This window comes from Homo sapiens, chromosome 15, assembly GCF_000001405.40.
Source record: "Homo sapiens chromosome 15, GRCh38.p14 Primary Assembly".
Classification (NCBI taxonomy): domain Eukaryota; kingdom Metazoa; phylum Chordata; class Mammalia; order Primates; family Hominidae; genus Homo; species Homo sapiens.
The window spans coordinates 44,979,998-44,993,215 of record NC_000015.10 but is presented as its reverse complement, the minus strand read 5'-3'; the positions used below and the strand labels follow the sequence as shown (position 1 = coordinate 44,993,215).

General features: G+C 40.7%; 1 annotated feature.

Moving 5' to 3' along the window:
* Positions 12,938-13,138: a silencer, noted in NCBI's record as "peak2324 fragment used in MPRA reporter construct". NCBI's record gives its function as "represses an SCP1 promoter by STARR-seq MPRAs in K562 erythroleukemia cells {active_cell/tissue: K562}" and the evidence as "EXISTENCE:reporter gene assay evidence [ECO:0000049][PMID:32103011]".

The following is a 13,218-nucleotide window of genomic DNA, read 5'->3' as shown; positions in this document are numbered from 1 at the left end:
CTCTAGTTCTTTCCATTGTGATGATAGGGTATTGAATTTAGATCTTTCCTGCTTTCTGTTGTGGGCATTTCATGCTATAAATTTCCCTCACACACTGCTTTAAATGTATCCCAGAGATTCTGGTACATTGTGTCTTTGCTCTTATTGGTTTCAAAGAACATCTTTATTTCTACCTTCATTTCGTTATTTACCCAGTAATTCAGGAGCAGGTTGTTCAGTTTCCATGTAGTTTTCCAGTTTTGAGTGAGTTTCTTAATCCTGAGTTCTAATTTGTTTGCACTGTGGTCTGAGAGACAGTTTGTTGTGATTTCTGTTCTTTTACATTTGCTGAGGAGGGCTTTACTTCTAATTATGTGGTCAATTGTGGAATAAGTGTGATGTGATGGTGAGAAGAATGTATATTCTGTTGATTTGGGGTGGAGAGTTCTGTAGATGTCTATTAGGTCCGCTTGGTGCAGAGCTGAGTTCAAGTCCTGGATATCCTTGTTAGCCTTCTGTCTCGTTGATCTGTCTAACATTGACAGTGGGGTGTTAATGTCTCCCATTATTGTGTGGGAGTCTAAGTCTATTTGTAGGTCTCTAAGGACTTGCTTTATGAATCTGGGTGCTCCTGTATTGGGTGCATATATATTTAGGATAGTTAGCTCTTCTTTTTGAATTGATCCCTTTACCATTATGTAATGGCCTTCTTTGTCTCTTTTGATCTTTGTTGATTTAAAGTCTGTTTTATCAGAGACTAGGATTGCAACCCCTGCTTTTTTTTTTTTTTTTTTTTTTTGCTTTCCATTTACTTGGTAGATCTTCCTCCATCCCTTTATTTTGAGCTGATGTGCATTTCTGCATGTGAGATGGGTCTCCTGAATACAGCACACTGATGAGTCTTGACTCTTTATCCAATTTGTCAGTCTGTGTCTTTTAATTGGGTCATTTAGGCCATTTACATTTAAGGTTAATATTGTTATGTGTGAATTTGATCCTGTCATTATGATGTTAGCTGGTTATTTTGCCTGTTAATTGATGCAGTTTCTTCCTAGCATTGATGGTCTTTAAAATTTGGCATGTTTTTGCAGTGGCTGGTACTGGTTGTTGCTTTCCATGTTTACTATTTCCTTCAGGAGCTCTTATAAAGGGAGGCCTGGTGGTGACAAAACCTCTCAGCATTTATTTGTCTGTAAAGGATTTTATTTCTCCTTCACTTATGAAGCTTAGTTTGGCTGAATATGAAATTCTGGGTTGAAAATTCTTTTCTCGAAGAATGTTGAATATCGGCCCCCACTCTCTTCTGGCTTGTAGAGTTTCTGCCGAGAGATCTGCTGTTAGTCTGATGGGCTTCCCTTTGTGGGTAACCTGATCTTTCTCTCTGGCTGCCCTTAACATTTTTTCCTTCATTTCAACCTTGGTAAGTCTGACAATTGTGTGTCTTGGTGTTGCTCTCCTCAAGGAGTATCTTTGTGGCGTTCTCTGTATTTCCTTAATTTGAATGTTGGCCTACCTTGCTAGGTTGTGGAAGTTCTCCTGGATAATATTCTGAAGAGTATTTTCCAACTTGTTTCCATTCTCCCTATCACTTTCAGGTACACAAATCAAATGTAGATTTGGTCTTTTCACAAGTCCCATATTTCTTGGAGGCTTTGTTCATTTCTTTTCACTCTTTTTTCTCTTATCTTGTCTTCTCACTATATTTCATTAATTTGATCTTCAATCACTGATACCCTTTCTTCCACTTGATCGAATCAGCTATTGAATCTTGTGCATGTGTCATGCAGTTCTCGTGCTGTGGTTTTCAGCGCCATCAGGTCATTTAAGGTCTTCTCTACATATTTATTCTAGTTAGCCATTTATCTAACCTTTTTTCAAGGTTTTTAGCTTCCTCATGATGAGTTCAAACATCCTCCTTTAGCTTGGAGAAGTTTGTTATTATCGACCTTCTGAAGCCTACTTCTGTCAACTCGTCAAACTTATTTTCTGTCCAGTTTTGTTCCATTGCTGGCGAGGAGCTGCAATCCTTTGGAGGAGAAGAGGTGCTCTGATTTTTGGAATTTCCTGCTTTTCTGCTCTGGTTTCTCCCCATCAGGCAAGGCTAACATTGGGACAAACAAATGTTAAGGGGTACAAATAAATAATCTATAATGATAAAAAAATGCAGTTCACCAGTTACAATGTTATAAATACCTAAGCACCAAATAACTTAGCACCTCCATGAATATTAATTAAAACATAAAATCACAGGATATACAAGAAAAAATGGAAACATTGTAGTAGACGCCGAAATGACAGAGAAGGATTAAATAGCATAATTAATAACAGATAAAACTTGGTACTCAAAAAAGAGAATACACCTTTTTTTTAAAGTATCTGTGGATAATTCACAAAAATTGACCATGTATTAGGCCAAAATGAAAATATTTGTGAGATATAAACTATAGAAATAGTACAGATAACATTGTCTATATAGAAGGCATTAAAAAAGAAGAGAAGAACCAGGTGCAGTAGCTCATGCCTATAATCCCAGCAGTTTGAGAGGCCAAGGCTGGTAGATCCCTTGAGCCAAGGAGTTTGAGACCAGCCTGCGCAACAAGGTGCAACCCTGTCACTGCCAAAAAAAAAAAGAGAGAGAAGAGAACACTTTATAACTTGTTTTATGAGGCCAGCATAACCTTGATATCCAAAACAGACAAGGACATTACAAGAAAGGAAAATTACAGGATGATCTCTCTCATCAACATACATGTGAAAATTCTGAACAAAATATTAGCAAATCTAATTGTATTAATACATTCAAAGCATGTATAGTTTTTTGTTTTTTTGTTTGTTTGTTTGTTTTTGAGATGGAGTTTTGCTCTTGTTGCCCAGGCTGAATTGCAATAGCACGATCTTGGCTCATCCCAAGCTCTGCCTCCCAGGTTGAAGCTATTCTCCTGCCTCAGCCTCCCGAGTAGCTGGGATTACACGCATGTGCCATCATGCCTAGCTAATTTTTTGTATTTTTTAGTAGAGACAGGATTTCTCCATGTCGGTCAGGCTGGTCTTGAACTCCCGACCTCAGGTGATATGCCCGGCCTCCCAAAGTGCTGGGATTACAGGTATGAGCCACCACACCTCGCCAAGCATGTATAGTTTTTAAAAGCTCAACAACATGATCTGATGTGCAGTCAGGTTTGATCCACTGTTGTACATGATATAAGATGTCATCATCACAGACCATAATAGTAAATTCCCAATTGAATTGCCAATTTAGAAGCTTGACTTTTCCCGGTCACTTCAGCATTATGTAGGAAAAGACTGAACTTTAAAACCAGAGTGATCAGAGATGGAATCACAATTCTTTTTTGTTGTTGTTGTTGTTTTTTGACAGAGTCTCGCTCTGTCGCCCAGGCTGGAGTGCAGTGGCACAATCTCAGCTCACGGCACGCTCCATTGCTTGGGTTCACGCCATTCTCCTGCCTCAGCCTCCTGAGTAGCTGGGAGTGCAGGCGCCTGCCACCACACCTGGCTAATTTTTTTTTTTGTATTTTTAGTAAAGATGGGGTTTCACCGTGTTAGCCAGGATGGTCTCGATCTCCTGACCTCGTGATCTGCCTGCCTCAGCCTCCCAAAGTGCTGGGATTACAGGCGTGAGCCACCGCGCCCGCCTGGAATCACAATTCTTAGAATTTACTAGCTACGTGATTTTGGACAAGTTACCAAACCTGTTAGTGTCCATTTTTTTCAGACGTAAAATAAGAATAACACTAACTCTCTGTAATGTTCAATTGTGGAATTAAGGAGACAGTATTTATACAGGCAATATGTTGGGATGACACCCCAAAGTATCCCTAAAACTTAGAATATAAATCAATGGGACCCAAATAAAAAGGATGAGGTTAGACACCAGTAGAAATGACACAGCCAAAGAGATTATTGGATTATTTGTGGGTGTGTAATAGTCTCACCAACACCCAGATCAAATTTAAGTGGCCTGGGTATACTGTCATCTTTGGAAAATAGGAACTGGACTGCACCGGATTAGGTTAAGTCTCAACCTAATCGGTTGCATAATAACATAGGACGAAAACAATGTGCCAATCCCCACAGTAGGAACACCCTAATAACAGACATGGAGGCATCAGGCCAGTGAAGCAGGGTGGCATCAGCCATTAGAACCATGGAGCCTCCCGTACCCCACCCCTGGGGTTTCCTGCTCACTGGGCCACCTTCTGGTGACATTTTTACAGATGTGCCTATGGAAAGGGGATGACATGATGAGCCAACAAGCACATCCATCAAATCCCCTAGAGCGGTATCAATGGAAATCTAAAAGCCCTAGAAATGGGACCTTGGCCACCTCACTGCCCTTAGTGCCTGGGTGATGCTGGAGAGGATATTTTTAAGCCTCCATCTTTTTCTCCCATCCCAGTCTAGTCAGTTTATATGGCAATGAGGTGAGGAAAGGAAGCTTTGGTGATTCAGGTTTCTGGGGTGGCCACTGCATGCTTCATCATGACAAGACTGTGATGGTGACTTCTCAGACTTAGCAAATACTAGCACTTATCCCTTCTGAAGTAAAGCAGGTCCATTATGAGATGGTTTTTAATATGGCCACTTCTGGTATCTTTCATTTTTCAGAGAACATCTTGTATAACTCAAACTCCTTCTCCTCTCCTTCCTTAGTGCTGTGCCCTTGTTTGCTTCTTTCATCTCCCAGAATGCAGTCTGAACTTCAGTCACTTCCACGGCCCCCCTTTTCCTCCACACTACGCTTTTTCCCATGATCATTCTGAATACTTGTCACTGACCCTGTGGAGATCTCTTTCTCCACAGTTCATTTCCCAGTTTCACTTTCTCCTACTCAATGATGTCCCTCTCCTACCCATTCCCAGGATATGCTGAGTTTAACCACAGTCCATCATGCCAGAAAGACTAGTATGTGACGCATGGACAAAATGCTGTTTATTTTTCATGGGACAAAATGTAATGTTTTCCTGAAGGGTTATTGTTGTAATCTCTACCTGTACCAGACAACAGACAGGCTGACCTTTAGAAGGTAAAACTAAACTTCTTCCTTTTCAACTCACCCCTGTCACCATTTCAACTTCTAGGGGTTGGCAAATAAGGAGGTAGAGCTTGTTCTGTTTGATCAGTATTCTTTGCACTTAATGATCCTTATGTGCTCCAGCTTTGGCAGTTAAATCAACAATATTAATTTTGTTTTCAGTATGTGCAGAGCACCAAACCACAAGAGAAAGTGCATGACAGACAGACTCCTTGTCCTGAAAGAGATGACACTCTATGGGGAAAGACCACCCCTACTCCAAGAACACATACAACCACTCAAATGATTCAAATGGAAAAGTAGGGTGAGCGTCATCCTTACCACAAGTGCAGTCATAGGTGTGCTCCCCAAATCAGCCTGTATGGAGGCTAAGAGCATGGGCTCTGACACTTGCCATCTGATTTTAGGCAACTGCTTAAGCTCTCTAAGCCTCTTTCTTCTCTGTAAGATGGGATACCCATAGTCTCTGCTTCATAGTGTTGTAGTGAGGATTAATTAGCACATAAAAAGTGCTTAGCACAGTAATAATAATAGCTAGTTTCTTAAGCATTTGCTTTATACAACTGTGGCAGCTAAATAATGGCCATGAAAGATATCTAGGTGCTAATCCCTGGAATCTGTGAATGTTACCTTAATGGAAAAAGGGTCTTTGCAGATGTTATTAAGTATCTTGAGATGGGGAAATTTTCTTGGGTTACCTGGGTGGACCCTAAATGTAATCACAAGTGTCCTTATAAGAGGGAGATAGAGGGAGTAAAATCTAGGAAGGGTTTTACTGAGGAAGGCAGCAATGTGATGATGGAAACCAGATGTTATGCTGCTGGCCCTTGAGATGGAGGAAGGTGCCACCTTCATCCTAACCTAATATAAAAATCCAGATTTACAAAACAAGTCAGTGAAAAGATAATTATTTTTTCCTTGTTGCAACTTCTTTCACTCTGGACCCTGGGTTATGGGGTTATGGGATTGGTGAGGAGTGGTTTGGGAGAAAGCTGTGGCTTGAGGCTCTTCAGGTCTCTCCCTGGCCTAGAATAAAGTGGGTCAGGAAGGTTCTGCACATGTGAGTACAGGTGTGTGGTGAAGCCTAGTGAGGATGGTAGATTGGTAAGTATGATCCCTGGATACACCTCCCCATCATCAATGAGGAGATGGGAAGAGGTGAGAGTTGGATGAACCAATACAAGGGAGTCCTTTAGAATAGTGCCTGGCTGTATTCATTTCCTATGGCTGCTGTTATAAATTACCACAGACTTGGTGGCTAAAAACAGTACACATTCATTCTCTCACAGTTCTGGAGGTCAGAAGTCTGAAATCAGTGTCACTGAGCCAAAATCCAAGTGTCTGCAAAGTTGAGCTCCCTCCAGAGGCTCTAGGGGAGAATCTGTTTATTTCTCTTTTCCAGCATCTAGAGCTGCATTCTTGGGGACCTTCCTCCATCTTGAAAGCTGGCAGCATAGCATCTTGTTTCAGTCGTCACCTTGCCGCCTTTTTCTGTATATAAGAAGTCACCTAGGCAAGCAGTATGCTAAATGATTAATGATCAAAAGCTTAGTTGCTCTTATGAAAGACTCTACCAGACTGGCTCCTTATCATTGCCATTCAGAAGCTATTTGTGTCTTCAAGGAAGCCACTTTAAAGAAACACAAAAAACAAACCAACACCCTGTCACATATGTTCTTGTGGCCTGAGTCACAGGGAAACACAGAACGGAGAGAACCAAGTTTCCTATCTGTGACCTGACTCCACCATAGCCTAGACCCAAGTGACGCCTATAGCACTTCCAAAGTCCCTGGGAGTTTGGATCCAGGTCAGGACTGGTAAATACCAGTGGGACTGGGTCCCGGCTCAGTATCAAGATCTATCTGTTTCCCCCAAGGGTTTTCCAAATTTCCTAGGGTACCTGAGCCTGGGGAACAGCCTTTAGAACAGCACTGTCCAATAGAAATACAGTGGTCTCTTGGGATATGCAGAGGATTGGTTTCAGGACACCTCCAACACAGCTACCAAAATCCACGATGCTCAAGTCCCTTATATCAAATGGTGTAGTTTGTGCTTATAACCTACACACATCCTACTGTGTATTTTAAATCATCTCTAGATTACTTGTAATACCTAAGACAATGTAATTCTATGTAAATAGTTGTTATACTATATTTTTAAAATTTATTTTTATTGTTGTATTGTTATTTTTTTCCAGGTATATTTGATCCACAGTTGGTTCAATCCACAGAAGCAGTACCCACAGATATGAAGGGCCAACTGTATAATGTGGGCCATGTACAGTTTTATTTATTTATATTTTTAGAGACAGAGTCTCACTCTGTCACCCAAGCTGGAGTGCAGTGGCACAATCATAGCTCATTGCAACTTTGAACCCATGGGCTCAAGTGATCCTCTTGCCTCAGCCTCCCGTGCAGCTGGGACTACAAGGATGCATCACCATGCTCAACTAATTATTTTTTTTCTAGAGACGAGGGTCTACACCCTATATTGCCCAGGGTGTACCTAACTTTAAATGGTCAAGTAGCCACATTAAAAAAGTAAAAAAAAAAAAAAAAAAAAAAAAAAAAAAGGTGAAATTAATTTCAACAATATATTTTATTTAAACCAATATATCCTAAATATGATTTTAACATCTAATCAACATGAAAATTATTCTGTTTTTGGCTGGGCACGGTGGCTCACACCTGTAATCCCAGCACTTTGGGAGGCCGAGGCTGGCAGATCACTTGAGTTCAGCAGTTTGAGAACAGCTTGGCCAACATGGTGAAATACCACCTCTACTAAAAATACAAAAATTAAAACAAAAAATAAAAATTAAATAAATACAAATACAATTCAAAAATTAGTCGGGCTTGGTGGCACATGCCTATAATCCCAGCTGCTCAGGAGGCTGAGGCACAAGAATCACTTGAACCTGAGAGGCACGAGGTTGTAGTGAGCAGAGATGGTGCCACTGGACTGCAGCCTGGGTGATGTAGTGAGACTCTGTCTCAAAAAATAAAAATAAAAATAACTCTTTTTTTGTGCTAAGTCTTCACAATCCAAGGTGTATTTCACACTTAATACATCTCAGTTCAGACTAGCCACATTTCAAGTGCCCACTAGCTACATCTTGCTATATTAGACAGCACAGGTCTACAGCAACTTGACTTGCCTGCTCCTACCCACTCTACCTCGCACTCTCATCAAATGCAGAGACAGTGCCAGGGATTTCATGAGAGGTGGGCCAGAAAAGCTCAGGGGGACTTTTTTTTTTCATATACGGCAACAAAATATGTTGCCCAGGCTGGCCTCAAGCAATCCTCCTGCCTGGGCCACCCAAAATGCTGGGAACCTGTAAAGGTGTGAGCCACAATGACCGCTCACGTTTTTTTTTTTTTTTTAACAAATCTTTGTTGTATATATTTATGGAGTAAAATGTGATGTTTTGATGTATGTATACAATTGGCATGATTAAATCAAGCTGATTAACACATCCATCACTTCACTTACCTATTATTTTTTATAGTGAGACATTTGAAATTTACTCGTAGCTATTTTGAAATATATATTACCATTGACTATAGTCACCCTGATGTGCAGTAGATCTCAAAACCTGTTCCTCCTGTCTATCTGAAATTTTGTACCCTTTAATCAATAATTCCCCATTCTCTCCCTCCCCACCTTCTCCCAAGCCTCTGTTAACCATTGTTCTACTTTCTACTTCTATGAGTTCAACTTTATTAGATTCCACATATAAGTGAGATCATGTGGTATTTATGTTTCTGTGCCTGGCTTATTTCACTTAGCATAATGACCTCCAGACTCATCCATGTTGTTGCTGGAAATGACAGGATTTCCCCCTTTCAGGGCCTGGTTGTTGTTATCATGGTGATGCTATGAGTCCACCAGGAAAAACAAAGTTACCCTTCTTCTGAACCATCCTGATTTTTTCCGATATCCCTCTTTTCTGCCCTGCAGAAACCAAGGACTAGTGCTCTCAGAGAATTTGACCTATATGTTATTCTAGCACCTACTTCACTTTGCCTTACAGTCAGTTGTTTATATTTCCAACTCTCCAACCAGATTATAAATGCCTTAATGGAAGGGTCCCACTCCCTGTTATCTCACTTTACAGGAAAAGAAAAAAAAGCGTGAGTTTAGCACTGTGTCATCAACAAATGTTTGTTGAATGAGTGCGTAAATGAATGAATGAGACAACCCTAGCAGGGTTGATGAATGAATGTGTATTATGGAAGCCTTCGTTTTATCTGGCACCTCCAGGTCCATACAACCTGCTTCCTAATAAACAGTGAAACAGGGCACTGTTGGGTCCCAGTCTGGAAACTGAAGGAAATACTTTTCTTTATCTTCTGTATCCTTACATGTATGAATTCAATTCATCAAATAGTTCCTGAGTAACTCCCATATTCCAGGCACTGTGCTGGGTGCTGTGGGAGCTGCAAAGATTAGTAAGAAATAATCCTTGCCTTCAAGTACCTAACAATGTAGTAGGGGCCTTTGGCAGGTGTACACAAATAATTATAACTTTAGTTTGAGTAACCTAAGTGCTCTAAGTGGACTAGAGTCCTGTGGGGAGAGGGGGCAAGAAGAGGAGGTTGCCAAAGAAGTTTCATTCAGAGATATCCTTTGAGATGATGCCTGAAAGAAGGACAGGATTTGGACAGGTGGGAATGGAGAGAGGGAAAGAAACAGCTTTTAAAAATCTGACAGATGGACTGGGTGTGGTATCTCACGCCTGTAATCCCAGCACTTTGGGAGGCCGAGGCGGGTGGATCATGAGGTCAAGAGACACAAACCATCCTGGCCAGCATGGTGAAACACCATCTCTACTAAAAATACCAAAATTATCCGGGCTTGGTGGTGCATGCCTGTAGTCCCAGCTACTCAGGAGCCTGAGGCAGGAGAATCGCTTGAACCCCAGGAGGCAGAGGTTGCGGTGAGCCGAGATCGCACCACTGCACTTCAGCCTGACCATAGAGCAAGACCCTGTCTCAAAAAAAAAAAAAAAAAAAAATCTGACAAATGAAGAAGAAACACAATACAGAGTAGGTATGGTGAGGAGCCTAAGTAGGACAAGGAAATGAACCCGATTTTAAAGATAAGAGCAAAGTGAAATAAATCACAACACTGTGACAAGGAAACGAACCTCTTTAAATGGGGTGAGGGCCCCACAGTTGGCAGGCACCCTCGTTTAAGTCAGCAACACCATGAAGAAAAGCTCTTGAGATTGGGAATTCCAGGAAGAGATGAGATCTGTGTCACACCTTCATCTGTGTCACACCCTCATGATTGCAGAGGCAAGGAATGGAGTGAAGGGCTCTCTGATCAAGAAAGAGGGAATCTCCTAAAGATTGTGACACAACCGGCCCGGCGCGTTGGCTCGCGCCTGTAATCCCAGCACTTTGGGCGGTCGAGGTGGGTGGATCACGAAGTCAGGAGATCGAGACCATCCTGGCTAACATGGTGAAACCCCGTCTCTACTAAAAATACACACACACACAGACACACACAAATTAGCTGGGCGTGGTGGCGGGCGCTTGTAGTCCCAGCTACTCCGGAGGCTGAGGCAGGAGAAGGCTTGAACCCAGGAGGGGGAGGTTGCAGTGAGCTAAGATCGCGCCACTGCACTCCAACCTGGGCGACAGAGCGAGAACCCATCTCAAAAGAAAAAAGAAAAAAAAAAGATTGTGACACAACCAGGTTGAGCAAAGCCCCCGAGTGACAGAGAAAGGATGAGAAGAGATCAGATACGCTGGGAATAACTTTATGTAACACAGAAGACATGGGCAATACTCTGGCTAGTGAGTACTACATGCTCTGGAGATTAGGGGAACCATACGAATGGAAAATCAAATAGCAGGCTGGGAAATCACCCCAGGGTGGGGAGATGGAAGAAGAATGGAGACAGTGATAGTGAGGACTGGAGTGTAAATTCTAAGTGACAGCCTTTTCCAAGCCACTAAGGTCAGGATCCAAGGCCTGGAGTAGGGTAGGTGGTTCTGTACATATCACAAAAATTGCACCCACAACAGCAGGAAAAAAATTCCAAGACTGATATTGAGGCAGGTGTGCAAAACAAAAGCAGAGACAATCTGATTTAAGGAAAAGATTGATTTACTTTCAATTTTATTTTTAAATTTCAGATCCACCTAATGCCCTGAGCAGTTTTACTTCAGAACAAAGAGCAGGCCCCTTTACCTTTCAGAGCCTGCACACAAGGGAGCCTGAAGAACACACACATTCTGCACTCAGTGATACACCATAGCTGTAAAGGAAACTAATAAAGGCAAGCTGCATTGATCATGTGGCAAATGCTAGGCCCTGTGCAATGCACTTTTACAGGCATTTTCTCATTTAATCCTTCAATATTACTATGGCATTGTTACTATCTTCATTTCTCAGATGCGGAAACAAGTTACATAGCTCACTAAGATGACAAAATCTAGTAATTAGTGGGGCTGTAGGAAGATTTTTAATATTATAAAATCACTATTTTTCCCAGTTAAAGGACTGCTCAGATTTTCTCTTTTTCATGGCAGTTTTAGTAAGATATATTTCCTAGAAATTTAAATAGTTCATGTAAATGTTCAAATTTATTGACATTAATTTGGTCATAATTTTTTTAAATGTCTCTAGAATCTGAGAAGTATTCCTCTCTTCATTTTTGATATTATCTGTGCCTTCTTTCTTTCTCTTGGCCAATCCAGTCAGAAATTTATAAATTTCTTTTAGTCTTCAAAACTCAACTTCTTGATTTGTTGATCATTTCTATTGTAAGTTTGTTTCCTATTTTATTAATTTCTTTTATCTCTACTACAATTCCATATTATTTCCTGCAACCTCCACCTCCCAGGTTCAAGGGATTCTCCTGCCTCAGCCTCCTGAGTAGCTGGGATTACAGGCACGTGCCGCCATGCCCAGCTAATTTTTGTATTTTTAGTAGAGACGGGATTTCACCTTGTTGGCCAGGATGATCTCAATCTCCTGACCTCATGATCTGCCCACCTTGGCCTCCCAAAGTGCTGGGATTACAGGCCTGAGCCACCGTGCCCGGCCAGAGAACATTTTTTATAAGGATATTCAGAGGCAATATCCATCAGCTACATTAAAGCAATTTTTTAAAAAAGGTTACATGAGCAGTAACTAAGATCATATTGCTTTTCACTTCCCATTAAGACAATAAACTTAAAACTAGTTCAACTTTGCTTATTTTATTTTTTCATATGCTTCTAATTCCTGGAAGGCTTATGTTATCACTGATTTTATTGTGCCTGACAATATTTCAAGGATATAGGTTACATTTTGCTTTATTATATACACCTAAAGATATAATCACTTTGGGAAACAAACCTAAAAAACTGTTTCATTATAATTTTTAATTTACACATGCATAATATATCAGAAAAATACTGGATACTCTCTTTCAAGAAATTCCAACATACACAACTTGGTGTACATTTACTTAATCCTCTTAGTCATTAATTTAAGATTTACAGACAGGCTTGGTTTCTATACAAGAAACAATCAATGGTATGTAACTACGATAAAGTATTCAGGAGAAATGTGTTTCAGGGAAAGATAATTAACATTTAAGGTTTTTGTCTTTTCTGTTTTTTGTGTAATTTACAAGATCTGAAGGGCTTAACCACAGATGTGAATATAAATAAGGAAAAGTTATCATATGGAAAAATATAATTCTCAAATGCTGATGCCAAAAGTAGTGTTAAAATTTTGTCTTATGAAATTTGAGTCAGGGGAGAAGGGCCAGGGCCAGGGCCCACATATACCCAAATGGTCCAAGCACTAAAAAAAAGTGTGCATTTTCTTTAGATAATTCTACAGCTGGTATTCACTTGCTTGGAAGAAGTACAGTTCTAAGATGATAGCTTCACAAATAACACTGTCATTTATAAGACACAAAAATGTAATAAACCAATCAGACTCTATATAGCATGGCCATATGAATAAAGATAACAAACTGCCTTCTTGAAATGACTACAACTCAATACTAATGAAACTGTCTAGGGTCAATGGTCTTGTAGTTTGAGGTGTTATCTGAGCTCATTGTTTCACAACCAAGAAAATTAAGGAGGCTGGACACAAGGGTGAGGTTGGAGCAAAACTTTTATAAGCAAAAGAAAGAAAGCTCTCCACAGTGGAGAACGGACCCGAGTGAGCTG